Source organism: Homo sapiens, chromosome 5, assembly GCF_000001405.40.
Source record: "Homo sapiens chromosome 5, GRCh38.p14 Primary Assembly".
In the NCBI taxonomy this organism is placed as follows: Eukaryota; Metazoa; Chordata; class Mammalia; order Primates; family Hominidae; genus Homo; species Homo sapiens.
The window spans coordinates 38,708,688-38,735,655 of record NC_000005.10 but is presented as its reverse complement, the minus strand read 5'-3'; the positions used below and the strand labels follow the sequence as shown (position 1 = coordinate 38,735,655).

The 26,968-nt window shown below is 42.7% G+C and overlaps 2 long non-coding RNA genes across 2 annotated transcripts in view; both read left to right on the top strand.

Moving 5' to 3' along the window:
* The window catches only part of OSMR-DT (OSMR divergent transcript), a 152,617-nt gene that overhangs the window by 110,174 nt on the left and 15,475 nt on the right, over positions 1-26,968 (top strand). The gene's annotated exons all lie outside the window — the stretch shown is intronic.
* On the top strand, positions 15,383-25,289 carry LINC01265 (long intergenic non-protein coding RNA 1265). Its single transcript, NR_104631.1, has 5 exons — positions 15,383-15,471; positions 19,126-19,191; positions 19,854-20,016; positions 24,236-24,307; positions 24,880-25,289. It is a non-coding gene; the product is annotated as a long intergenic non-protein coding RNA 1265 (long non-coding RNA).

Below are 26,968 nucleotides of genomic sequence, written 5' to 3'. Positions count from 1 at the left end.
ATCCCTAGCTCTTCCCAAATATTCTGTTTGTTAGGAATCCAGGATTTTAAAGTTCAGTGAATGTAATTTTCCCAAGAAGGTAGCAGATGTTTATTTACACCATCAGCTTTTGTGGACTTGTAGTTGGTAAACAGACAATACGGCACTAGGATAAGAACACTTGGAACTTAGTAATATGACATGCTTTTCATTTGGTTGTTTTGTTTTAATTTCCACAGATCTGCTTTTTAGATAACCCACAGTTGCCAAATCGTATATTTCTGAGACTCACTGTGTGTGACTTGAAATTATCTATCAGAACACATTATGTATATGGAAAATTGTGAAATGATGCTTGATAATCAAGATGCAATAACCTGTTTCAGGAAAAGGGGGTATTTACTTATTTTTTCACAAATATGTAATATATATTAAGTGTCTGCTACCTACAAGGCACAATGCCAGCTCATGTGGTGTCAGATAATATGGGGGACGCAAAGATGAATCAGGCCAAACCAGGATTCTGCTCTCAAGAAGGTTTTACTCTTCTAGGTGAGAAACACATATATATATGCTAACATATAACCCTTTAATTGTTCCTTTCACTGTTAGAAGATGGAAGAACCCCAGTGGTAGAGGGAAAACCTTGCCATAGGTTGATCAAGCACAAACAGGCAAACTAAGAATGGCTCAAAGCAGACCTTGACTTTAGCCGCCGAGTCACCTCTCAGTCTATAGACTGGGAATTTGGGCCCACTACTTATTTCTCTTCTGTAAATGAGGATAATAACACCGACATCACACTCAATACCTGTCTTGTTAGTCCGCAGAAGTCATTAAAGATTCTGCTGGGCACAACATGCTGTAATATAGCTAATGGCCTCATTAAGCAGACTATAAACTACAACTTGATACAATTATAAATGAATACTTTTTTTATAGCTACAGAATTGTTCAACAGATCACTCATTCCAGATCAAATGGGTCAGCCTGCTTCACTTCCAGAAAGTTCTTGGCGTTTCTTGAATTGTCAGGCTGAGGCTTGAAGAAGGAGGAACCCCTGAATTCCTGAGTCAATGTAACCACAGGAAACCCAGGTGCTTGGGCGTTCCTCTTCCCTGGTTGCCACTAGGGGAGGCCCCCAGACCTAAAAATACCTCTACTGGCAGCCAGGGAAGGGAGTAGGAAAGAAGCCATCTGGAGAGACGGGATGAGAAATTGGGAAAAGAAGGTGAGAGAATGCCACGGAAATCTTGTTTTGCCTAGAGATAGTGTCTAAGGTCAATCCCTTTCCTTCTCCCTTTGTCATGGGAAGTATAGCTGAAGACTGACGAATTACCACCTTATTCCTTCACTTTTCCATATCTAGTTCTTTCTGCTCCACTCTGGGAATTCTGATGTGGCAGGAACAATGGGAAGGGAGGGAGCGTAGTGGGGATGGAGGTGAATACCAGCAGGATCCCTTGGTTCTAGCACCTGAGCTGCTCATCTGGACAATCTAGCACCCTCCAATTCTGCACTTTTGTCATGACCACACTTGAGTAACTCTGTTCCTCTTCCTCCATCTCTCCTTCCAGAAACTGGGCTTTAAAGGTGCTTCTGAGCTATGGACCCAGATTAACTACCCAGCAAACTGAAGTTATATTTGGGGTACTTTTCTGGTTGCTGCCTTATTTGTGTATATTGCAGCTTATTGTGTATAGCAACCTTGAGATACTGAAGAGACTGGGGTACATGGGAAAAAAGGCAGAAAGGACACAGTGGGTAAGAGCATAGGAGTGTCCCCAACTACCTCACCAACAAGAGGCAAGGCCTTTAGAAACTGTCTACCTCTCAGTTGCAAATGATATATTTGGATGGACTCAGGTCATTGTGTGACAAATCAGAAACCAAGGTCTGAAGTCCCAAGAATGAGAGTTGTGCCTGGAAGATTGAGGGTGGGGAGAGAGGAAGACTGCTGTAGTGGTGTTGTTGAAATGGGGGCCCTAGATCTTTGGCTTGAAGAAAATGGACATTGGGATAAGTGCAGTCAAAGAACTGATGATTGACAGAGGGTGCCCCAGAGCAGCCCACTGGTAGGGATTACTAAGTCTCAAGGGGCACATGGGCATGGGTAATTTTAAGAGAATTACATTCCGAATCCTAGTTTCCATATATACTCTTTCTCAAAACTGATCATGTTTGGACACCCCTTGGCTGTCATGCTAGTTCTCATACTTGATTCCTTTTGTGCAATGGCCTCAGTGGCACTTTTTAAAAGGAAAGTCTACCTGTCATGCATGCCAAATCTCACTAGGATGTACTGTCCCCCAGAGGAAAGCCCTGGATGGTGCCAGAGAGGGTCAACCTGAAATACCAATGCCTGTGTCTCACATACATATTTTGCATTGATTTTAAGTAGGAGGAGGTGAAAGATTAACATTATAGTTTCAAATTAAAGCAAGCTAGATGGACATATTTTCTTAAACATTTACTCAAACTCACGGGTGAACCATTTCTTTCAACTTTTGCCAAAAGATTGTGTACTGTAAATTCATGTTTATTTTTAAATTTGGATACAAGTCTCCTGTTTGCTTCAACTTTTCTGTAGATTTAGTGGCACGATGGCTCCTCTTTTTTTGCTAATAATTTCCACAAAATATCATCTTATTCTAGCAATAAGCAACATTCATTCATGATACACCAATTTATCTTTTTATTTAAAGACTAATTTCCTTTGTATGTTTAATGGTTATTTAAAAATGTTATATTATAATGGCTTTATTTTACCCAAGTATGTGCTAATATAAATTGTAATGATAAATCAATGCAGAATATTTATTAACAAGCATAGTCTTCTGGTGACAGAAAATTTCAACTAATTTTGTATTAATAATAATAAATATTCAATCTAGAAAAAATTAAATATGTTAAATTTTAACTTATGAACTTATTTTGCTGCCAAGAATTATGATGTGGTGCTCAATAAAAGATTATCAAGTTTAAAAGGATCTTATACTAATAAAATTCTGTGAGTAACATAAGATAGAAATATGAGTTCAAGGAGAAAAAAATAAATAATGGAAAATTTCTGACTGTTACAAAAGAGCTTATTCATGTGCTTTTTGAATACAAGGAGGTGGGTATTTAATACATTTAATTGAATGATTTAACAGTTTTAAAAGTCAATGTGCCAGAAATTATATCCTCTTTAATTATTTAAACCTGCAATAAAAATTTTATACGATAATTTAAAAATGTGTGATGGGGATACATAATTTTTCCAAAAATGTTAGGAGGTCCCAGAACAAAGCATCCTGTCCAGCTCTGCCCTAGGAAGAAGGAGATGAATGTGGAAAGGGAACAGGGTGGGAGAGGAGGGACTGCCGACTCTGGAATTTTGCCCAGGGGCAGGGCCCTTACCTGTGTCCCCTAGCCTCTCTGGGGTGCCTCTGCCTTGTAGTGAGGGGATCTTGTCTGGCTTTCTAAGAGAATATGAAGCAGGTGAACCTCCAGTACAGACACTTCATTCTGCATAGTATTTGCTCAAACTGGCATCCCAATGGACTACAGTGGTATGTCCTTGACTCTGTATAGTACTGTGCAGTTCATCCTGGAGTGTCAATACCCTACAGGAGAAAGAGCTGGTGGAGTGGGATATGGCAGGGGAGCAGCTAATCAGATGTCCTGGAATGCTAAAATCTTGGCAAAGCTGCCAGACAGATGAAAACATGTAGTGTTATAAAACTGCATGATGGAATGGATAAGACACATGGATGACCTTCTTGTCCTTCACTGTCTAGAGCCCTAGGAGACTCTGAGCACCAAATTCAGGTTTCTCCATGCCTCAGCCTCCCAGGCACAGATGGGCCTTTAACTATCCCTGTTGGTGGTGCCTGCCCAGCCCTCTCCTTGCCCTCATCAACCCTCTGCCAGTGCTGCCCGCTCCATCCATTGCCATCTCGTCTCCCATGGCTCACCAGAGTCTGGCCGCTCGCAAAGGATTTTTGCCAGCAAATGCTGACTTGGCAGAAGGTGCACTGGGGTTTCTGGGTTTAAGAAAAAAGCCAGTCCCATCCTATGTCAGTTTTCCAGGTGCTCCAGAAGTTATTTCCATGGTGTGCCCAGTTCTCATAAAGTCAGGCTGTGTCCCTGAGTGTTGACTTGGGGTCTGGATTGGCAGGAATGAGGCAGTTGGGGGAGATAGTCAGACCCACTGACACACCCTGTTGGCAACAACAAATAGGACACATGGAAATGAAGGGAGTTCTTAGGCAGCCACAGCCCTGTGGTCCCCATGGCTCTGAAGGCCAAAGGAAATATGTGAGAGTGTGAGGTGGCTTCTGCATCTTGGAGTTAAAACAATAAGCTCTTCAGTCTTCCTTTTTCTTAATGAAACCTAAGCCTTCGTGATGGGCAGGTATCACTGCACCACAGCCCTTTAGATCAGGTGTCCTCAAGGTGGAGTCTGAAGTCAGCAAGCTGGAAGCTATTTCCACCATGAGGCTAAGATGTTTTTTCATGACCACTCTCCCTCAAGTGGATCATGGGATTTTCAGAGGCTCCATGATATATGGTGACATCTTCTCTCTGATGACAAACAGAAGCTGTGCTTGTGTGTTCTTCCGTTTTAAAGATGTCTCAGTTCTAATGTGTACTACAGTAAATATCAATAGACATAACTCAGTAGATATCACAAAATCTCTTTGGTTGTTTTCAGTAATTTTTAAATGTATAAAAGAGTCCTGAGAACAAAAAGTTTAAGAACTGCTGCCACAGGTCTTATGTTCCAGAGTAAGCTTCCAAAAAGAGGATAGAAATTGCTCAAAATAGAACAGAATTTGAGGCAGAGTCAGGAAGAAAACTCTGTACCACACCACACTGCCCAGGTTTGCTTCAACTTTAATTAATGGGATGCCATTAATGTTCATGCCTACCGTGCTCCACTCTGAAGAATGTTAGGTTTCCCTGAACAAAGGCAGGAGCAGGACCCTCTGGGACAGGAGCAGATCTGATGGAAGCCAGCAGGAGAATCACTTTGGGCTGCAAGGTGACCACATGGGAACAGTTAAGGAAAAATTTGCCTCATCTCCTGGATTCCAATTGTAATCTAATCTGTCATGGGTAAGATTCCCTTCTTTCTGTTAATGGACTGCTCCTGCAGTCTTTCTAGACATTGAGGGACATAACAGTTGGGGTACACATAAAAGAAGTCTTAGAAGTAACTAGTGCATTTGTCCATTCATACAATGATGTATGTACAGTACCTGCCATGTGCCTCAGACAGGTGTGGGCCCCAGAAATACAGCAGCCACAATATAGACACGGGTCCTTCTCTCTACCATCATGTCCCATCCCCTCCATTTCAGATGCCAGAGGCTGGAGGGATAATGTGACCTGCCCAAAGCCATACAGCAGTTGCAAAAGAAGCATCTACCGTATATATGTCCTCTGGGGGATACAACAGAAATAGGTGGCACATTTATGGCCCCAAATGAGTTTATGGTCTTGTCAGAGAAATGAGATTTATACTCAAAGTAATATAAAGACTTGGATGGCAAAGCCTAGGTATTCCACAGTGGGATAATAAAATAGTTGTTTAACTGCTTTAAGGGCAGTTTTTTTGGGGGGGGAAATCATTCAGGGGAATAGGGCTTTTGATGGTTTTCATTTATTTAATATTCAATTTATCGGCCATGTATGGAGGAATTAAATAAGAAATTACGATGGATATGTACAATCAAGTGGAAAATTGGTGTAGAATTGATTGAGTAGAGACATAGAGTGAAGCTTAGGCTCTTAAGTGTAATCCCAGCACTTTGAGAGGCTGAGGCAAGAGGATTGCGTGAGCCCAGGAGTTCCAGACCGGCCTGGGCAACGTGGAGAAACCCTGTCTCTACAAAAAATGCAAATATTAGCTGGGCAAAGTGGCACTCACTTGTAGTCCGAGCTACTCAGGAGGTTGAGATGGGAGGATCACTTGAGCCCAGGAGGTGAAGGCTGTAGTGAGCCGTGAATACACCACTGCACTCCAGCCTGGGCCACAGAATGAGACCATGTTTTTATTTATTTATTTTTATTTATATTTATTTTTATTTTTATTTTTTTTGAGACGGAGTCTTCTCTGTCTCCCAGGCTGGAGTGCAGTGGCGCGATCTCAGCTCACTGCAAGCTCCGCCTCCCGGGTTCACACCATTCTCCTGCCTCAGCCTCCCGAGCAGCTGGGACTACAGGCGCCCGCCATGACGTTCGGCTAATTTTTTGTATTTTTAGTAGAGACGGGGTTTCACCGTGTTAGCCAGGATGGTCTCGATCTCCTGACCTCGTGATCCACCTGCCTTGGGCTCCCAAAGTGCTGGGATTACAGGCGTGAGCCACCGTGCCCGGCCTTTTTTTTTTTTTTTTAGAAAAAGATTCAATTTATCAAATTACACATGTGAAACTCAAGCTCCTAATTGTGAGGTTTTAAGTTCTACCTATAAATAGAACAAGATCTGCAAGCCTAGCAAATTTTAAAATTACATTTGAAGTCCTTAAATTAATATTTTGTATCACTTATAAATTCAGTTAAACGCCTTTAAACATTTTAAGCTGCATGTACAAATTTAATATATTTTATTTCCTTTTTAAGGAATTCAATTGCCTGATTTAACAAAATTATCTGATTATCCTGATTACTGAAATAACCTCTTAAAAGTTAATAAGTCACAACCTTGTAAGTATGGTTAAGCTTAAGTTTTTAGTTTTTTGCTTTTTTATTTTATTTATTTTTATTTATTTATTTTATTTTTTTACTTTTCAATATTAGGTAAAACTTAGTAATATTTTCACTTAAAATTAAAACTCTAAATTAGTTAATTAACATTTTAATTGAAATGTCAAGACTGACCTATTTATAACTCACATGCCTAAAATACCAAATGTGCACAGATTCCTAACGCAAAAGTAGTAATACTGTTGAGTTGATATTCTTAAACATTTCTATATCCAATTCTACCTCTTTCTGAAATAAGACTTAGCTGGGGAATAATCTGGGTCAATCTGTCAATTTCTGGGCATCACTTTTTTTTTTGCATTGCTTTCTCCGCTTGTTGGAAGTTGCACAGCAATCAAAGATATTGGCCTAGATCTTTATTAGATTCTTACTTGCTGCCTCAATCTTGAGAACACTCAAAAGTGGTGCCCCTCAGCCATGGCCTTTATGTTCAGGTGACAATAACTCATTCTTTTGCTGCTCAAGCAAAATTTCAACTTCTGCTCAAAATGGTCATTTAATTAGATTTTGCCTTTCTTTGGGTCCTAAGATATGTGAAAGTATCTTATGTCAAACATAAAACACCCTTGAATTGAGGAAAGCCTGTATTCTTCTATTCCCCCTATTTTTAGAACTTCATAACTCTTAGGAATGTTAACATGTGGTGTCTGTTGTGCTAAGCGTAGTGAGTCTTTTCCATATGTGAGAAATAAACAGTCCTACTTGTACTTTATATTTACATTTTGACCCCTTCCACTCCACTCCCTATAATCACATTTTAAGTCGAGGCCCCGGTCTTCAAGGAATTCAGTTGTGCATTCTTTTCTCTAACTCTACCATAAGCTCCTTAAAGAGTTACATTCACTAAATACATCTCTTGAAGTCCTTCTCAGCACCTAGCACAGGATGCCCAGTATATTTGTTAACTTAGCAATGTTTGGTGAATTAAATAAGGTATTATGATAAAAATGTACAATCAAGTGGAAAATTGGTGTCGAATTGATTGAATAGAGGCATAGAGTAAAGCTTAGGCTTTGAAGAAATTTGGCAGCAAAGAGGATGTAAAGATACGTGAGGTCTAAGGAAGAATTCTGTGGGTTGCTGGGAATAAGTGAGTTAGAGAAAGAAAATAACAACGAAGGTACTGAGTGTGTAATTACTATGTGCCAAGCTCAGTTTCAAATGTTTTATATGTATTAACCAACTCATTTAATCCTCCTAACATTGCCGTAGGGTAGACACCATTATTATTGCCATTTTACAGAATGAAGAAACTGAGGCACAGAAAGGTTAAGTCATTTACTGCTATACTGTTTGTATGGTAATTTACTTTAAAATATTTCAATGTAGGCCGGGCATGGTGGTGCACGCCTGTAATCCCAGCACTTTGGGAGGCCGAGGCGGGTGGATCACCTAAGGTCAGGAGTTCAAGACTAGACAGGCCAACATGGTGAATCACCATCTCTACCAAAAACACAAAAATTAGCCAGGCGTGGTGCTGGGCACCTGTAATCCCAGCTACTTGGGAGGCTGAGGCAGGAGAATCACTTGAACCTGGGAGGCAGAGGTTGCAGTGAGCCAGATCATGCCACTGCACTGCAGCCTGGGTGACAGAGCAAGACTCCATCTCAAAATAAATAAATAAATAAATTCAACGTAAACTTCAGTGCGACATTTGTATATATAACTTAGCCCTTGGGGTAGGTAGTTAACATTCGAAGTCTACTAATCAGAAACCTATACCCCAAAGGTGGCTATGTCCCCCAGGCCCCTTCTCCCCAGTCTTGCCTGCTGGTTGATATGGTTTGGCTCTGTGTCTCCATCCAAATCTTATTTCCAATTGTAATCCCCACGTGTCAGAGGAGAAGCCTGGTGGGAAGTCATTAGATCATGGGGGTGGCCTTCCCCTTGCTGTTCTCATAATACAGTTCTCATGAGATCTGAAGGTTTAAAAGCAAGGCACTTTCCTTTTCACTCTCTCTCTCTCTCTCTCTCGCCGCCATGTAAGACTTAATTGCCTTGCTTCCCCTTTGCCTTCCGCCATGATTGTGTTTCCTGAGGCATCCCCAGCCATTCGGAACTGTGAGTCAACTAAACCTCTTTTATTTATAAGTTACCCAGTCTCGGGTAGTTTTTTACAGCAGTGTGAAAATAGACTAATACACTGGTCCTGCTGTCAGAGTATTGTTCCATCTATGTGCAAGGTGCTTGTCAGAGTGCTTGAGGACACAGCAAGCAGAAACCAAGCTTGCAATAACAGATTTGTGGTAGTTTGGTGCCTGCTTGCCAATAAATATTTGTACTTTTATCTGAATTTGACCTCAGACTTGCTGTCATGGTAACATAGGCTTGTTAGAGGTTGTCAAGGACTGCTCTACCTCTGATCACCAGAAGTTACTAATATCTACTACATTGCTGAAGGCACTCTGCAACTGCCCCAGGTCACACATCTGGCAGGTGGCAGCACTAGCACTCACTCTCAGGCCACCAGCGCCCTAATTAGCATGCCACATTGCCTCTCTGGAAGAGGATTGAACAGAAGCGAGCAGGGCATGAGTGAAGGAGCAGGGTTTTCGGGCAAAGGGAGATGTTCCAGGGCATAGCTAGAGACAGCAATGTTTTAAGAGAAAATATTTCTTTCAGTCAAAAAGGGAGACAGAGAAAAGTATGAAGACAGTGGGTATCAGTGGGTAAGTTTAGTGGCAGAGGGAGGAAATCAGAGCTTTTGCCTGGTGGATCACATTTCCTTGGAGAAGTAGAATTCAAGGGCTTGGACTGAAAGTAAAGGTGGTGGGGTTGTTGCAGGCTTAAGTTCAGGGGCAATGGGGAGAAGGTCCCTTCTGTGTTTCCCATGTATGTTCTTATGTGAAGAAGGGTTGCCCGGGCCTAGGAGTGTGGAGCTTGTAGGAAGGGAAGCCTGGGAGGCTAAGCATGGCCCCAGGGTCAAGAAGGGGAATGTGTTCCAACCTCCAGTACCTGTCAAGATATTAGGGCCATCCAGTGGGAGGCCTGAGATACAGCCTGTCCTAATGAACAGCGAGAAGAGGAACAAGGCACAGCCCAAAGGCCCCAGTAGCCAGAGACACCCGCTCAGCAGGACTCATCCTTACATCGAAGGGGAAGATGATAAGACCCTTTCCTGTCCCTGTCCAAAGTGCGCTGGAGAGTTCAGGATGCTCACGGTGAATTTTCAGATTTCCTGAGGTCAAAGAGTAGGACAGCCAGTTCTGGAGGAGACAAAATGACTCTGCATTTTGTTCCTCTGCAAGAGCTGATGAATAATTCAAGGCAATGCTAAGTAAATGAGTTCTGCCAGGCAGGCTGGCTCTGAGCAGGGACCTCCCGGCGGGTTGCCATGGGACTGTGTTCTCAAAGAAAAGACCCCCTGTTCGTCTTATATACTCCTTAGTGTCCCTGGCGCTGATCCCACACAGCTCCCAGGGAACTCCTTTTCAGCCAAGGGGATGAATGCCTGCTACAGAAAGGCCCTGGAGGAACTTCCAAACTCAGGCGGAAACAAGAATAGTTGGAGAGGCCATGTGACTCTCTCTCGGGTATTTGCATTGTACTGAGAGGACAAATAGAGGGGTCTTGCCAAAGAAAAGAAAAAAAGTAAAGAAAGTGGGCTGCCTGGCTGGGGAATCCCAGGGACCTAACTGGTCCTTACTACTGCCTGCTGTCGGTGAAGCTATGGGGCTTCCTTCCCTGCTCAGGGAGACAATCTCCTTCCCAAGGGCAAAACCCTGTACATAACACAGCCCTGACCCATAGTGTCCCCTTCGGACTAGATTTGTTGATTCTTATTTGAAGGAGGAGGAGATGTCAAGAGCCCTCAAAAACGGTAGATGCCCACCTCCAGCTGGCGATAAACGTAAACGCCAGCAAATCAGATGCCTTAGACAGAAAGATGATAATCATATTGTCTTGACTTTACCTCCAAATTCAGCTGTTCAGTTATTATTATTGTATCCTATTATACTAAGAAAATACCTTTGAGGCACTTTAAGTGAGCAAAACCTCATCTGATTCCTTAGTAAGGGCAGCTGTGCAAAATCCTGTCACCAAAACCCATTATCACAGAGAACTACCCAATAGAAAAGCCAATCCTGTTCCCAAGTGGCGTCTCTCTTTGCCTCCTCACCATGTGGAAGCCTGACCTAGTCCGTCATTCATGAGGTTTAAAAAAAAAGATGCTTGTGTCATTAGACTGAACCTTCAGAGTATGATACAGTATAATATTAATGGTATTCACATAGGTTTCAGTATAAAATATTCAGTTTGATAAAAATGTGTTACAGCAACTCTGCCATAAACTCATTTAGGAAATACTGGCAACCAAATCCAGGTCTTGCATGGTACAAGGGAGTGGAGGTTGATCTCAATAAATCTCTCATTCATCTTCAGCAGCATTCCCCAAAACACAGAGTAAGGCAACAGCAGCAGGGGGTGCAAATCCTACTCAGTGAGCCAACCCCCACTGCTGACTTAGAGTTAGTCACTCCTTGGAGTCAGTGTGGACTGAGAACTCTCTGGCCACCCAAGGAAAATTAAACATATTATTTTATTACAACAGATGTCCCCACATTTTTTGTAAAGGGGTGATCCCTTTTATTTTCCCAAAACCATGTACCTGGGGGTAGGAGGCATGATACCAGGGAAGTCACCGTGTGTGTGTGTGTGTGTGTGTGTGTGGGTGAGGGTGTTATGTATGTGTGTATTGGTGCAACAGACTGTGTCCCCCCAAAATTGATATGCTGAAATCCTAACCCCCAGTGTGATGCTATTAGGAGGTGGGGTTTGGGAGCTAATGAAGTCATGAGGGCAGAGCCCTCAGGGATGGGATTAGTGCCTTTATGAAAGAGCCCCCAAAGAAATCTCTCATCCTCTTTCTGCCATGTGAGGAGGCAGTGAGAAGATGTCAGTCTGCAATCTAGAAGTGAGTCCTCACCATATCCTGACCATGCTGGCACCCTAATCGTGGACCTCCAGCCTCCAGAACTGTGAAAAATAAATCTCTGTTTTTTATAAGCTACCCCGTCTATGGTATTTTGTGATAGCAGCCTGAACGGACTAAGACAATTGGGGTGGTAGGGGGAGGGGTCCTTAGGAGGAATTACCACCTATTAAGATGGAGCATTGAGGATCCACTTAATGTAACAAGCAGAGATCAAGCACTCACAGAATGGCTAGGATTTAGGAAAGAGATAAATGGAGACAATAACAATAATGATAATACAACACTTTCTGTGACTAAACTCTATTTTGAGTCTATACATTTTGAGAAATGAGTCATCGGGGGAGAAGAGCAACAACATATATCTAATTAACAAAAAACTCAGGCTGATGTAATACATAGTATAATTAAGAAAAGAGCTATGAAATTGCAAAGGAGGGAGCTGGAGAACAACATTTTGCAGTCGGAGGAGAGAGACAGGAAAGGCTTCCTGGTGAAGTCCATTTGTGTCGCAGCACCTGCCCCGGCCCACCCAGCCTCCACCCAGAGGGACAGTAACAAGGCAGAGGCCCTCACACCTGCCAGCCATGTGGGAGGCCATGGCACACATTTGGAGGAGCGCCCCCAACCTCCATTTTATCCCCTTTCTATCTGGAACGGTTGGAAAGCTGAAAGCCTTCCAACGCTGCCTTGGAACTCAAGCTCTACAGGAAAGCTTGGTTTAGCCAGAGAGCTGCCCTTGCCAGAGATATGGGAGGCAGACAGGAGGCAGAGGCCATTCTCCATGGCTATAGCAGCTGATGAGTGAGCGCCAACAGATGCGGGTGTTTCGACAGCTGACCTCCAGCTTCTGCTTCAAGGGATGAGGTGGTTGAGGCAGCAGCCCTGGTAATTGTGAAAGCAGCAGCAGCCTGTTCTCTGGATGCTACCCACGGTTTGGCCTTGAAACCTACACTTGATCAGCAGCTTCCTGACTTCTGCCCCCACAGCCCCTCCTGCTTGAAATACCTAATTGTTTCTGTTTTCTGCACTTTACTCTGAGAAACAAAGATGCTTTGGATGACTAATTAACAACTTCTACAGATAAGTAGTAATATAGAGAAAATGACAGCTAATTTGGACCTGGCCACAATCACTGCATCCATTTGTTACCCTCTTACAAATTGGCCTCTGTTCCACCATCCTAATAGAAAAACCCTATCTGAGATATCCAGTGACCCCATCCTTGCAGAGAGACCCCTTAGTGACCTCTCTGCTAATTCGTTGCCCCTCCCTTCCTTAATATGGTTTCTTCCTGCATCTGACCTTTCTGTGACTACCTTCTCTTTTTCTCTGAATTATCTTTTTCCCCACCTCTATCATACTGCCTAAGTTCTTGGCCTTCTACACTTCTAACTTTGCATTCTGTCTCTTGGGAAAATACATTCATGCTTTCTTTTGTCATTTCTGATTATCTACTATGTGCTAGGAGCTACAGCCCAGGTGAAGATAAGTTGCAAGATTCTTTTAAGAGAGGAAAGTCAGTTACAGAAAAGGCACTTTCTAGTGCAATGAGCATTCTAGGGAAGGTAGCCATAAAGGGCTTTGAAAATGGACGGTAGAAAATGAAGGAGGCTTCATGAAGAAGACAGCTTGGGAGTTGAACTGGAGAGGACTTTGACAGGTGAAAACAGGCCTCAGGGAAAGGAAAACATTTTAATAGGTGGAAATAACATGAGAAGAATTGAATGGAAGTAAAAAGGTATAGGGCACGTGGGGAAATCCTACTTGCATCCATAAAGCAATCCAGTATACGGTGTGCATCACTTAATGATGGATATATGCCCTGAGAAATTTGTCCTTAGGCTATTTTGACATTGTGTGAACATCATAGAGTGCACTTACACAAACCTAGATGGTATAGCCTACTACACACCCAGGCTATATAGGGTAGCCTCTTGCTCCCAGGCTGCAAACCTGTGCAGCAGGTTACTGTACTGAATACCGTAGGCAACTGTAACACAATATAAATATTTGCATGTATATAAACATGTCTAAACATAGAAAAGGTACAGTCCAAATACAGTATTGTAATCTTATGGGGCCACCACTGTATAAGTGATCTGTCATTGACCAAAATGTCATTTTGGGTGCATGACTCTGGTTAGATTGTGAGTTCCGTGGGTGAGGAACCTGTTCACTAGCTGTCTCTCTTCCCAGAATTCAGCATTGTGCCTGGTACATAGTAGGCCCTCACTAAGTACTTGTGAATGAAAGACAAGAGAGACGAGTGGATAAGTCTAGTTCAGAGCCCAACCACTCCGTTCTGCCCACACTGCTGCAGTTATGTCAAGACAGGGAGACAGAGCCCTGAGCAAAGAACTCTAGTCCTCAGCATTTTCCATGAACCCCAGCCAGAGAGCTTCCTCCTTACTTTCCCTTCTACTCCTCTGTAGTTAAGCAATCCATTGGGTCAAAGGTACCACTAACCATCAGCTAATGTTGATGGTTCTACCTTTAAAATTTATACAGAATATAACCCAGTTCATATTCTGGATTCTGCTACAACCAAGTTCATTGCTTACATTCCACCTTGATCCCTGACAAACACAGCAGCCAGCATGGTCCTTTCAGGAACATCAGTCCCAGCACATTACACCTATGCCCTTCCCAGCCCCACATGTTCTCCAGGGCCTTACATGGTCTCCTCTGTGATATGGTTTAGCTCTGTGTTAACACCCAAATCTCATGTTGAATGTAGTCCCCAGTGTTGGGGGAGGGACCTGGTGGGAGGTTATTGGATCATGGAGGTGGATTTCCCCCTTGCTGCTCTCATGATAGTGAGTGAGCTCTCACGAGATCTTGTTGTTTGAAAGTGTGTAGCACTTCCTCATTTACTTGCTCTCTCTCTCCTTCTTTGCCATGTGAAGAAGGTGCTTGCTTCTCCTTCACCTTCCACCATGATTGTAAGTTTCCCGAGGCCTCCCCAGCCATGTCTCTTGTACAGCCTGTGGAACTGTGAGTCAACTAAACCTCTTTTCTTCATAAATTATCCAGTCTCAGGTAGTTCTTGATAGCAGTGTGAGAAGGACTAATATGCTCCACTAACTTCATGACGAGCATGTACACTCACTGCTTCAACTTCAGCTATTTCCATGCTAGCTAATTTCCTTCTCACGCATGGTGAGACATGCATTTCAATTATCTTCTTAGTTTCTTCTAACTCTTGCCTATTTACCTCATTCAAAAAATGTTATTTCCTCTCCTTTCTTGGTCCCTTTTGTGATCCAAGAAATAAGCTGTATTAAGCCTAATGAACCTAGGAATAATTTTAGAGATTTAACTACCCTGGGGTTTGCAATGAAATTAGATTAAACAAAGAACCTAGTTGGCATCCTCTGAAGTTTTTCAGAATCTTACTTCTATAGCGTATATCAGCATCCCCACAGAGGTTTCGATTGCCTCCTTCTGCTCTCCTAATAATCCTGCTATTCTTTCGAAGGCCAGCCTCTTTCAAATTATGTAATCTTTCCAAAATAACATCTTACTTAGGATTATTGTTTTTATGATTGTTTAAATAGTAATATAGAAAAATAGGGTTTTCTTATTTCTTTCCTTTGCAATAAACAATTTTCAACAGTATAATAGCTTAAATAGGTGATTGTGATGTCACCCTTAGGATATAATCACTGCTTGTCACATCGTTTCTGTAGAAAAACCAACTCACATAGGATGAAATGTGATGGGGTGAAATCATGGCAGTGTGATTTTCAAACACCAACTTGCCTTGGAAGGGAATGTGGGGATGTGCACTGCTGGAAGCCATGTGAGTTTTGAGAGTATGTAAATTCAGATGACTGGAGGGAATGTGGTGTAGTAAACAATTATGCAGTGCCTATTTGTGTGTGCATAATTGGTTGCTAGGACTGAGCATTAGTCACCAAATTACAAAAGCATGACTTTTCCTTCAGTGGATGTAGCACTTTCCCAGGATACACAGCTTGGGGACAGTAGCATGGGTTAGAGTTTTGCCCCATTCGCTCACTCGGTAGAGGTCTGTGTGCAGTGTACAATTTGCACAACTATATGTGGGCCCCTGCTAAGTTATCCAGAAAAATTGCATTCATATGATGTCCTACAAAATGCCAAAATCTACAAAGCAGTCAACCTGTATAGTCTACAGAGAAAGGAAGGACACGCTTATTCTAGTGACCCAGATTCAAATCATAGCCAAAGAAGCAGTGAGGATAAAAGGTCAGAGAAAAAAGTCACACAATCCTGGAGTTGGGAGAGAAAGAATGGGGCATGGATGAGGCAAAGGGAGACAAAGAGGAAACAGATTGGAGAGAGGGAAGAGAAAGGAAGGAAGGAAAGAAGGAAGGAAGGAAGGAAGGAAGGAAGGAAGGAAGGAAGGAGCAAAGAAGATTCATGCATAAAAAATATAAGTTATTTTTGAAACAGTCATGAACCCCCCCCCTTTTGGAGGCATTGTTGTGGGGAGACAGAGATGAGTCCTGATCCTTAAGATTGATCTACTCACATGCAAAAGAAGGAGCAAAGCAATTACACACAAACACACACACACAGACACACACACACACACACACGCAATGAGGCAGCCATCCTTATAAATTTCAAACTGGAGCAAGGCACAAGAAGTCCATATTAGTCACTATTAATAGCTATGCCAATGAAAAGTTCTTGCTTCTCAGACCAGCACACCATTCTCAGAAGCCAAAGGAGGAGAAAGCTTCAGAGAGCTAAAGTTAAATCAGTTCAGAAGAGGAAATGCTCCCAGGGATTTCACTGTTTCATTTCACAACACCTGATAAGCTGTAAACAAGAGACAGATGGGACATTGATTTTGAGTCTGTGTGTCCTTCAGATAATCTACGCAGGCTAGGTAAGATGAAAATAAAGGGACGGGCTAGGGCCGGGATTTTAGAGCTTGAAAATATTTTGCTGCCTGGGAGAGTGTCTGTAAGCAGATGATAATAATGACAGTTGGCTGTAGTCCTTGGCAGATGCATTTCCCAAGCATTTTCAGACTTAATGAGACCAGAGAGCATCCCGTGGGGCAGGACAGTCATGTTATTAGCAGATTACGGTAAGGAAATGGGGGATATCTATGGGTTCAAGTGAGCGATGGGGACACCAGAAGTAAGTATCTCAGCCTGAATCTTCACAAACACTTTTGCTTCCAACTTTCTCCCAGGAGGGGCAGGGGAAAGGGGTGGCTTGAAGTATGAATGTGATTTCAGGGAAGAGGAGAATGATTCTCCACGTGTACATTTAGTCCCTTGTCCTCATATTTGCACACATGCCCATGATGCTGCCTGAGCTGGCAGAAACCACCCCACTACAATGGGGCCTGTATATATTGTACCACTTGCACAATTATATGTGGGACCCTGCAAAGTTATCCAGAAAAAAATGTACTCATATGAACCCTAGTCATCCAGCTGCCAGCACTTTCTCAGTACCCTTCCCTGGTTTGAAGATTTCCAGATTTATGAATCCCACTTCTCCAGGAAGAAACCAGAAACTCACTTTCCTAAGTTGTCTATAGCTGGACACAAGCATGGCCCTGGCCTCCTCAGATAGACCATGCCAGACTTTGATTGTAGGAGAGCCTTGTGGAAGAAAGAGTGCGGAGTGGAGGAATTCTGATGAGGGTGACAGAGAGACACTTAGTTTGCAGAGACAAAGGTTGTGGTGGTTCCAGTGGTAGTTCCCCTGCTGTGCTGTAACAGCAGAGACTCTCCTGGAGCAATAATTGAGGTATTCTACCCAGCTCAGTAGCCTCCAAGCCTGATTGTCCAACTCTGTGTAAAAACCAATACAGTTCAGTGACTACAATTGAAGTAGCTACAGTGAATTCTGTTGTTTGCAACCAAAAACTCTTACTAATTGTCTTTGTACTTATAGGCGATGCAAAAACAAAACAAAACAAAACAAAAAACACCCAAACTTCAGTAATTAAAATGAAATTTTCATGTAATAATTTTAGAAAGGATTTAGGTATTCAAAAATGCTTTTGCAAAAAGTATAAATGTACTTATATTTTATTTTAAAATCAAAGAAACACAATCCCAGAGAAGCCTAGTCATATATCAAGCTGCTTAGCACATTAAGATTAAAATGAGAATTAGGGGCCGGATGTGGTGGCTCACGCCTGTAATCCCAGCACTTTGGGAGGCCGAGGCGGGCGGATCACCTGAGGTCAGGAGTTCAAGACCCGCCCAGCCAACATGGGAAACCCCGTCTCTACTAAAAATACAAAAATCAGCTATGCATGGTGGGTGCATGTCTGTAATCTCAGCTACTCAGAAGGCTGAAGCATGAGAATCACTTGAACCCAGGAAGCGGAGGTTGCAGTGAGCCAAGATTGCACCACTGCACTCCAGCCTAGGGGATAGAGTGAGACTCTGTCTCAAAAAAAAAAAAGAAAAAAGAAAAAAGAAAAAAAAACGAGTTAAATGCAACATTTTATAAATCAAAATTAATGCAAAAATCCATGATGAATGAACAAAATATCAAAATTTTAAATAAAGACAAGATCAGTATTACTGACTTTTTCCCTTTGTCTCAGACTCTAATATATAGTTACTTATGCTGTCTTTAGGGAACTTGCACATGTTATCTTTAAACAAATTAATAGCACAGATTAGACTACTTCGTTGCCTCTTCAAATAATCAAAGTTGAAATCTTCTTCTTCCTGGTATGTGAATCTTCTTCAGCAGAATATATAGTAGCATCTCTCGCTAGAAGCATTCCTGAGCCCACAAATTTGGATTAGATCAAAATTTCTGTGTCCAGACCTGTCTGGATCTTGCAGAAATATTAATGCTGGCAGAATCTCTAAAATAACAGAGTAAACTAAACCAAATTAAACACAAGGAGACATAAGATCAAATTTTAATGAATATTTGGGCTGCTGGCTACCCAGCACTTCTCAACAGGTGAATGCCTTAATAAATCACAAGGATGGTAGTAATTAGTGTTCATTTCACACTATATGCCAGAGGCCATGTTAGACACTTGAAACAGTGGATGCTTCTTGTCACAATTCCCATGAGGCAGGAAGTCCTATGACAAAAGTGAAGATGAAGTTCCTAGTTAAGAAGTGGCAGAGCCACATCATAAGCCCAGGGTAACAAACGCCAGGGCTGAAGTCTCCCTGCCACATCATGCTTTATTTTAAGAAAGTGGACTTTTTCTCAAGAAGCCTGAGGACCGCAAAGCATCAGGCCTGGACTTCCCCAGCAGGCAAATGGATATTGTTAGAACGATGGCTTGGGGAAAGCCACAGCTTCTCTTTTATGAGTGAAGGGAGTGGAAGGAGAGACAGCTGCAGCCTACAAGCCTGGAATCTCTGTCCCACAACCAGCATCCCTCAATTCTCCCTGCCCCGCTGAGGAGTTTGTCTAGTCCCAAAGAAGCACCTAACGTACTTTTATGCTCAATATACAATCCTAGGTGTTCTGATATGAGAAGAACTTCTTCAGAAGGTATCTTAATGCATATGGGGAAACTGAGGCCCAGGTAAGTAAAGTAATTTTCATAGAAAACTGAAACTAGAACCCAAGTCACTCAATCCCCAGTTAAGACTGAGTTCATCACACCATATGGCCATGCAGATTAAGTCCTGAACTCTGTCTACGCAAAAAACTGTGCTTCGTCACTGAGGCTGACAGACCCTCTTCAAAAGGTTTAGTCTGTACATCAAAGGTAAAAAAAAAAAAAACAACTGGCATTTTATAGGCTAAATCTAGTTTGCAGATGTAGTTGGGTTTTTTTTTTCTTGGTTTGTCAAGTGATTTTGAAAAATTTGAACTAGCTGATACAATTTAAAAATCAGGAGTTTTCACATGCAAATCCAGATTTCTGGCTCCCCTTGAAAAAAAATCCAAGATGAGGACACACTGGAACCACTTTCTCACATGGCAGCTATTGGTTAGAGCAGGTGGTGTGCTGAGCCAGATCATACTGGCTCACAAGAGCCAATGATAAAGTATTCAGAAATGCTGTGGGCCACGTGTTAAATGGTAGCTTGAAATCAGCCATAGGATCATTTACACCAGCCATGTTACCACCAGCCATGTTACCATGGAAACATGGACAATGGAAACATTTGTCCATTGTCCATCTGCTCCTGCCCCCCATTGGTCAAGGATGATGCCACCAGCAAAATTCTCTTGTTCTAGATTGCACATACATGAGTTGCCCTGGAAAATCCCAAGTCAAAGAAGCTGCACTGCAGGAAATCAGTATGGTGCAGGCCCCAGGCAAGGCATCACTGACTACACTTGCAAGAAACAAACGCCTGCAAAAATCAGGACAGGATGATTTTGAAGCTGTGCAAAACAGGTGTCTATATACTGGCTTTTTTGAATAGTGTAGCTATGAACATTCTTGTACATCTCTCTTGTGCACGTGTATATATTTCTGTCAGATACACGCCATAGGACTGGAATTGCTGGAACATAAGGCATTCACATGTTCAACCTTAGGAGAAATGGCCAAACAGTTTTCTAAAGTGCTCTCATTTATTTACATTCCCACCAGCCATAAAGGAGAGTTGTGGTTGCTTCAACATTTAGTGCTGCCATATTCTTTTTCAAACCGTCACTTAAAATATCACTTCCAAAAAAAAATAAATAAAATAAAAAATAAAATAAAATAAAATAAAAAATAAAATATCACTTCCTATTAGCTCAAGATGACTGTCAGTTTGTACCTCTTTGGCTATTTGGTATACTTAGCACCACATTTTATATCAGGCCATTTGTGTTCTGTGTCATGGCCATGGATGTGCTCACACATATTCCAGGCTGATGGGGTAAGATCAACAACTTCACACTTGACCCAAGTGGCAATCCAAAGTAAACAAGGAGGAAGGAAGAAGTCAATAAAATTCCCAAAAGAAGTCACCATAATTGATTACATTTCATTTATCAGAAAACCATTCCAAGTCTTTGACTAATTTGAGACTCCCTGTTGTGATACAAAATCTCTTCCTCTGTGAGTTATTATAATTCTTGCCAGGAATATCCAGGGACCTGCTTTTCTCTGCTCCAAGTCTCAGAGTCCAGGCTGTTTGTAACATGTAATCTATGATTGAGAAACAGGAAAAAAGGGAGACCATCTTACAAGGTCTGGTCCCAAACCTCCTTTCTCTTTAATTCCAGCCCCAAATCAACCCTACTTGACTGTTCCCTCATGCCACAAAACAACAGAGTGCTCTCATTCTGAAGTGCTTCCTTGGCTCCCACTGGTCATGATAGAATTCACTTCCCAGTAGTCGTTTTGGCCTGACCTCCAACCAGGATCACCTCCTAGGAGATGCACCAAGTCTGGGAAAATCACCCTCAAGTATCTCTGGCTTCTAAACGTCCATTCCAAAGACTGAGCAGTGAGGATGAATTAATTGCAAGTAGAAGCAGTTTCTATTTAGGAGGCCAAAGAAGCTCCCTGTGCTCTTCCTCTGCGACCTGCAGCGGACAGCCCACTCTTTGGCCATGATGAGCAGAGGCTCTCCAATCCTGCCTCTACCCTTTGTACTGTTCCAGCCAGCCCACCTGGGACAGGCATTCTTAGGTACACTGCTGGTCCATCCTGCCATACCAGACCATTCATGCCATGCCCACAGGGTGGTGTCCTGGGGGAGAGTCCTCCTCTCAAGAAAGGTGCTCTTTCTTCACCATGGGCAAAGGGAGGTCAAGCTGACCCCAACATTTTGTGTTGGCAAGCATTCAGGAGATGCTTAGTAGCTGTGAATTATCTCAACACCCCCTCACGTCCCAAGGAAGAAGTCACAAGTCATAGCATTATTCCTTTTTTTTTTTTTTTGAGATGGAGTCTCTCTCTGTTGCTCAGGCTGGAGTGCAGTGGCACAGTCTTGGCTCACTGCAAGCTCTGCCTCCTGGGTTCACGCCATTCTCCTGCCTCAGCCTCCCGAGTAGCTGGGATTACAGGTGCCCGCCGCCACACCCAGCTAATTTTTTGTATTTTTTTTTTTAGTAGAGACGGGGTTTCACCGTGTTAGCCAGGATGGTCTCGATCTCCTGACCTTGTGATCCGCCCACCTTGGCCTTCCAAAGTGCTGGGATTACAGGCGTGAGCCACCATGCCCGGCCAGCATTATTCCTTTGACATGTATTCCTTCTCCCACAGGGCAAAGCTGGCTTGCTCACGAGTGGGTCCACATATCACACACTCCAAACATGCCAATTCACCATACTTGTAGGAAGCAGGCAGCAATGAGGGTGACAGAAAGACTTGAGAGCTTCATCCAAAAACTCGTTTACTGAAATAACAGCAAATATTTATTGCTGGGCTCACTATGTATACTTACTAAGCACTTTCTATATATCTCATTTAATTCGCACAGCCCTTTGAGGCAGCTACTAGTATTAGCCCATTTCATATCTGTGTCCATGAATTCACCATTAGGAAGTGGTTAAGGTGAGATTCAAACCCAGGAAGTCGACCTCCCAAGGCCATGCTCCCAGTAGCTATAATGTAGCAGGATTTCTTACCCCGTCACCCAGCTGTGCATCCTCAGCCCCCAGCTACCTGTTTTCATCTACCTTGTTTGTGGTCCCAGCTCCCAGACTATCTTGAAAGTGTCTCCAAGGCTTTTGGTTGGGAGCCAGCCCAACCTCTTATCTTCTCCCCAAACCTCCAAGAGACTTTCTAAGATCAGAACCCTTGAAGCATTTTGAGCAGCCCAGTAGCAGAGTCCACACCAGTAACCTTCAGCTACTAGCAGAGCAGAGTCCACACAACAGACCTGAACTCCTCAGCTTCAAGTCCCAGCACCATCACCCAACAGGAGTGAACATTTAGCAGGTTATCTAAACTCTCCAAGGCTTGGTTTCTATGTCAGCACCACAGTATAATAATAATGCCTGCCTAATATGGCTTTTCATAGGATCCAGTGAGCTGATGCATGTAAAACACAGTACAGTTAAGGGCACAGTGAGTACTAGCTTTCACTAGTCATAAAACACCTGTTCAGTTTTTAGTTTTTGAAATCTTGAGGTTAGAAAGTGTAAAATGGATTCCCTTTTAATTCTGGCTTTTCTCCAAGTCTTCTTTCCTTTATCTCCATTGTATTCCCTGTTAGAAGTCTCCATTCTAATGGTGTGAGTACTCAACACAGTGCCTGGCCCTGAGCAGGCGGCAATGCCAGTGTTACTACTTCCTTCTAGCTTTTATTCTCCCTACATCATCCCGATACTAACTTATCCTTTCCCTCTTCTCTTGATATTTTTGTTCACCCTTTTCTATCTGCTTGAGGGAAGCTGAGAGACCTAGATACCATATTTAGAGTGGCTTAGGCAACATCCACAAGGCCAGAATAGCTCATCTGTCCAGAACTAAAACGAGATCCCTGCTCTGCAGACTCTTCACCCAGCCCTTTTATGAGGTATCCAGTGTCTGACTTTGGATCATGATTTTGTCTTACAGAGGGCTGTTATCAATGTCCATTAAAACCACAGAGTGGCTGGGTGCAGTAGCTCATGCCTATAATCCTAGGACTTTGGGAGGCCAAGGCAGGCAGATCACTTGAGCCCAGGAGTTTGAGACCAGCCCAAGCAACATGGCGAGACTCTGTCTCTACAAAAAATACAAATATTATTTGGGTGTGGTGGTGTGTGCCTGTAGTCCCAGCTACTTGGGAGACTGAGGCGGGAGGATCACCTGAGTCCAGGGAAGTTGAGGCTGCAGTGAACCATGATTGTGCCACTGCTCTCCAGCCTTGGCAACAGAGTGAGACCCCATCTCAAAAAAAAAAAAAAAGCACGGAGCATTTTATCAAAAAGCATCAGTAAGACATCCGTGAAAAGTTGGCTTCTTATCTCAGAAGTGTGGTTCTGTTCATGTCAAATATGCATTTTCGTATCTCTTGTAAGCACATATGATTGAGGTTAAATCTCATACTCATACTACTGCAGTGGCTCTTGATCAGGGAGAGTATCAGAATTACACTTCTGAGATTTCTCAAGATGGCTTTAAAATCACAGAACCAGGGATGTGTGTATTTTGATTCAGACACTGTTCCCACTTCCAGACCCTGCTTCTACCTTCCCAGTCAACAACCATTATCCTAGTAGCTTTTTAGATGGTGGGCATCCATCCAAATGAACAGCTCTGGAAATGAAAGCTTAAAAAATCAAAATAGGCTGGGCCCAGTGGCTCACACCTGTAGTCCCAGCACTTTGAGGGGCCAGCGTGGGAGGATTGCTTGAGCTCAGGAGTTCCCGATCAGCCTGGGCAACATAGTGAGACCCTGTCTCTAAGAGGTGGAGCACACTTGTAGTCCCAGCTACTTGGGAGCAGGAGGCAGGAGGATTGCTAGAGCCTGGGAGGTCCAGGCTGCAGTGAGTGTGTATATATATATACACACACACACACACACACACACTACACACACACACACACACACACGTATATATGTATATAGATAGTCTAATTTCTGTCCAAAGACGCTCTGTTTGCTCCTTGATTCTCTGTCCTTTTAAAATAGCCTGTCTTTCCAGTTCACACCTAAGGTTCTGACTTACTTTCTTTTCCCCAATAGTTGTCATAGCCTTCTCCAGCATGTGTTCCTTCTGTATTTCAGACATGGCAGAGGAGACACAGCAATAACTAAGTAAGTACAGCAAATCAAAGGATGGAGCCCCAAACTGAAGCCAAGTCTACTATATCTTATCAATTTACTGAATAACATTGTCTCTCTCTGTAGAGGTTACCCTTTTATGCACATAAATGTGAATTAAAACATCTCTGCCCTGCTCCATTCAGCAATACAGCTCTGCAACGATGCACGCTGCCATCCATTTCACTGGAACATTTGCCGTAAAGTTGCTTTTAAAAGACATTCTCTTACAATACTGTCAACGGCCCTTGCATTAAAAATGAGAAAAATATGGAAACATGCATTAAAATATTCAGAAATAAATGGCTTTTTTATTACATAAAAGCTCTCATGTGTCTCAAAGGTACTGAGAATAGAATACTTTATCATAAATTAGATTATTATTGCTGGGAAAAGATCTATTTTAATGCCACTTTTCTTGGGGATTAAACCAAACCCTAACAGTCCATTTGGGGGTGTTCATAAATGTGTAAGTCAAATACTGAAAAGCTTTAGTGGAAAATACATGCTGATGAAGCAATCTTGGAAAAGACAGAACACATTCTGTTTGTTCTCATGTCTGGCAGGGGGCAACTATTGCATCCAGAAAAAAAAAAAATGAAGATAATGACTTCTCTGCAACTAAGATGAAGATCCACTGAACTTTGGGGTTTGAAATGCAACGTTAGAACTTCAGACTCCCGGCACCTAGGTCTCCAGCTGCTGGGTGGTGCCAGCATCAGAGATACACTCTGCAAAACATATACTGTCTTAGGAAAAAGTGACCCTGTTGTCCTTTCAGGCCCATATTCCACAAGAAGACAAATGGAGATGTAAAAGGAAAACTGCAGCTCCGACTGAAGAGAGAGCAAGTTGTCTGTTCTGATACAGCCAGGAAATAAGATGTTCTGGTTAATATGTGCTAAAGATGTGGTGCTGACTTTCCGACTCAGAATATGATCACATGTTTTTCTCATTAAAACTATATTGAATATTATTTGACCATTGTTGAGTCAGTCATCTTGATAAATATTATCTTCGTACAGTCCTGAGCAGAGAGTCAGTGACTAGAATGCCACTGAAACCAGCTTTTTATAGGACACGGTTTTCATGGTTTTAGGGCATGGAGAAACTTGCACAGTAATCCACAGTATTCAATTATTTAGGCAGGGTAGGAGAAAAGTGATGAGCATTCATTTTGCTAGCAGTGTAACTTCCGTGGAGAAATGGTATACTGATTGTACTTCACATTCCCTATACATGATCCAGCACTGTGATCAAAGATGGAAGGAATCTCTTCATAGCTCTCCTTCCTTTCTCTTTTCTCATTTCCTTACCAATTCCCTTTATCCCTGGTCCTTTTACATCTTTATTTTTAGTCAATACCCTGTTACTCTGCTGGAAAGATCTGTGTGTGAAGCTGGATACTAAAAATGTCATGATTGCCACTTATTTGGAGGAGTAGAGTGGAGGATGTGGGCAGCATAGCAGCCCAGGCTGGAAGAGAGGAGCTGGAAGGGAGGAAGTTTGGCTGAAGGACAGGCCCCCTCAGGACTGATTTCTTGGCAGTCTATCCAAGTCCTTGGGTGTCTGCACTGGAGTTATAATAATAGCCAATATTTATTAAGCATTTTGTCAGTGCCAGGATCTGTGCATTATCTTCTTTAATCCTTACCTAACCCTGTGCAGTAGGCACTATTACCATCTCAGTTTAAAAGATGCGGGCTAAGACTCAGTAACTTTAGGTGTATGTCCAAGTTCACACATCAACTAAGTGGCTGATCCAGCTATGTTTCATTTCAAAGCTTGAACTTAGACCATCCCCCTCCAATTAATTAGCTATGCCTTCCTTCTTACACTTATCTCTTTCCTCTCTCTCCTTTTTAAGATTATAAAGACTTTGGCCAGGCACGGTGGCTTATGCCTGTAATCCCAGCACTTTGGGAGGCCGAGGCCGGTGGATTACTTGAGGTCAGGAGTTCAAGACCAGCCTGACCAACATAGTGAAACCCTATCTCTACTAAAAATACAAAAATTAGCCAGGGGTGGTGGTGGGTGCCTATAATCCCACCTGCTTGGGAGGCTGAGGCATGAGAATCGCTTGAACCCAGGAGGCAGAGGTTGCAGTGAGCTGAGATCTTGCCATTGCACTCCAGCCTGGGTAAAAGAGTGAGACTGTCACACACACACACAAACACACACTATACAGACTTTAGAAAATATGCCTCTGTGTCCTTTAAACACTATTAAAGAGCAAAATGGTAGTTCCTGGACCAAAATTCACAGGACCCAAATCCTTATTTCTATGTAGCCACCAACTCACTGTATTATCGTGACACTGGACTACTGGCATCTGTAAAATTAGGAAGTTCAACCAGATGGTATCTGAGGATGATTTGGCCTCTGACATTGGGTGAACCCCCAGCTTCTAGGAGAGGGTGTGGGGCATAACTCACCTGGGCTATTCCTACTTGGGATGTGAGTGGCAAGAAGGCAGCACCTATGATTGTAGTGACTGGATTTCCAAGCCTCCAATCAGAACACCCATTACCTGAATCACTGAGTGATAACAAGTTGTAATGGTAACATCAACCCTACTCCAGAAATTCAATGATATGGAAGGTGGGTAAATCCAGACCCACTCTCTTGTGGAGGGTGAGGCACTTCATGAACTTC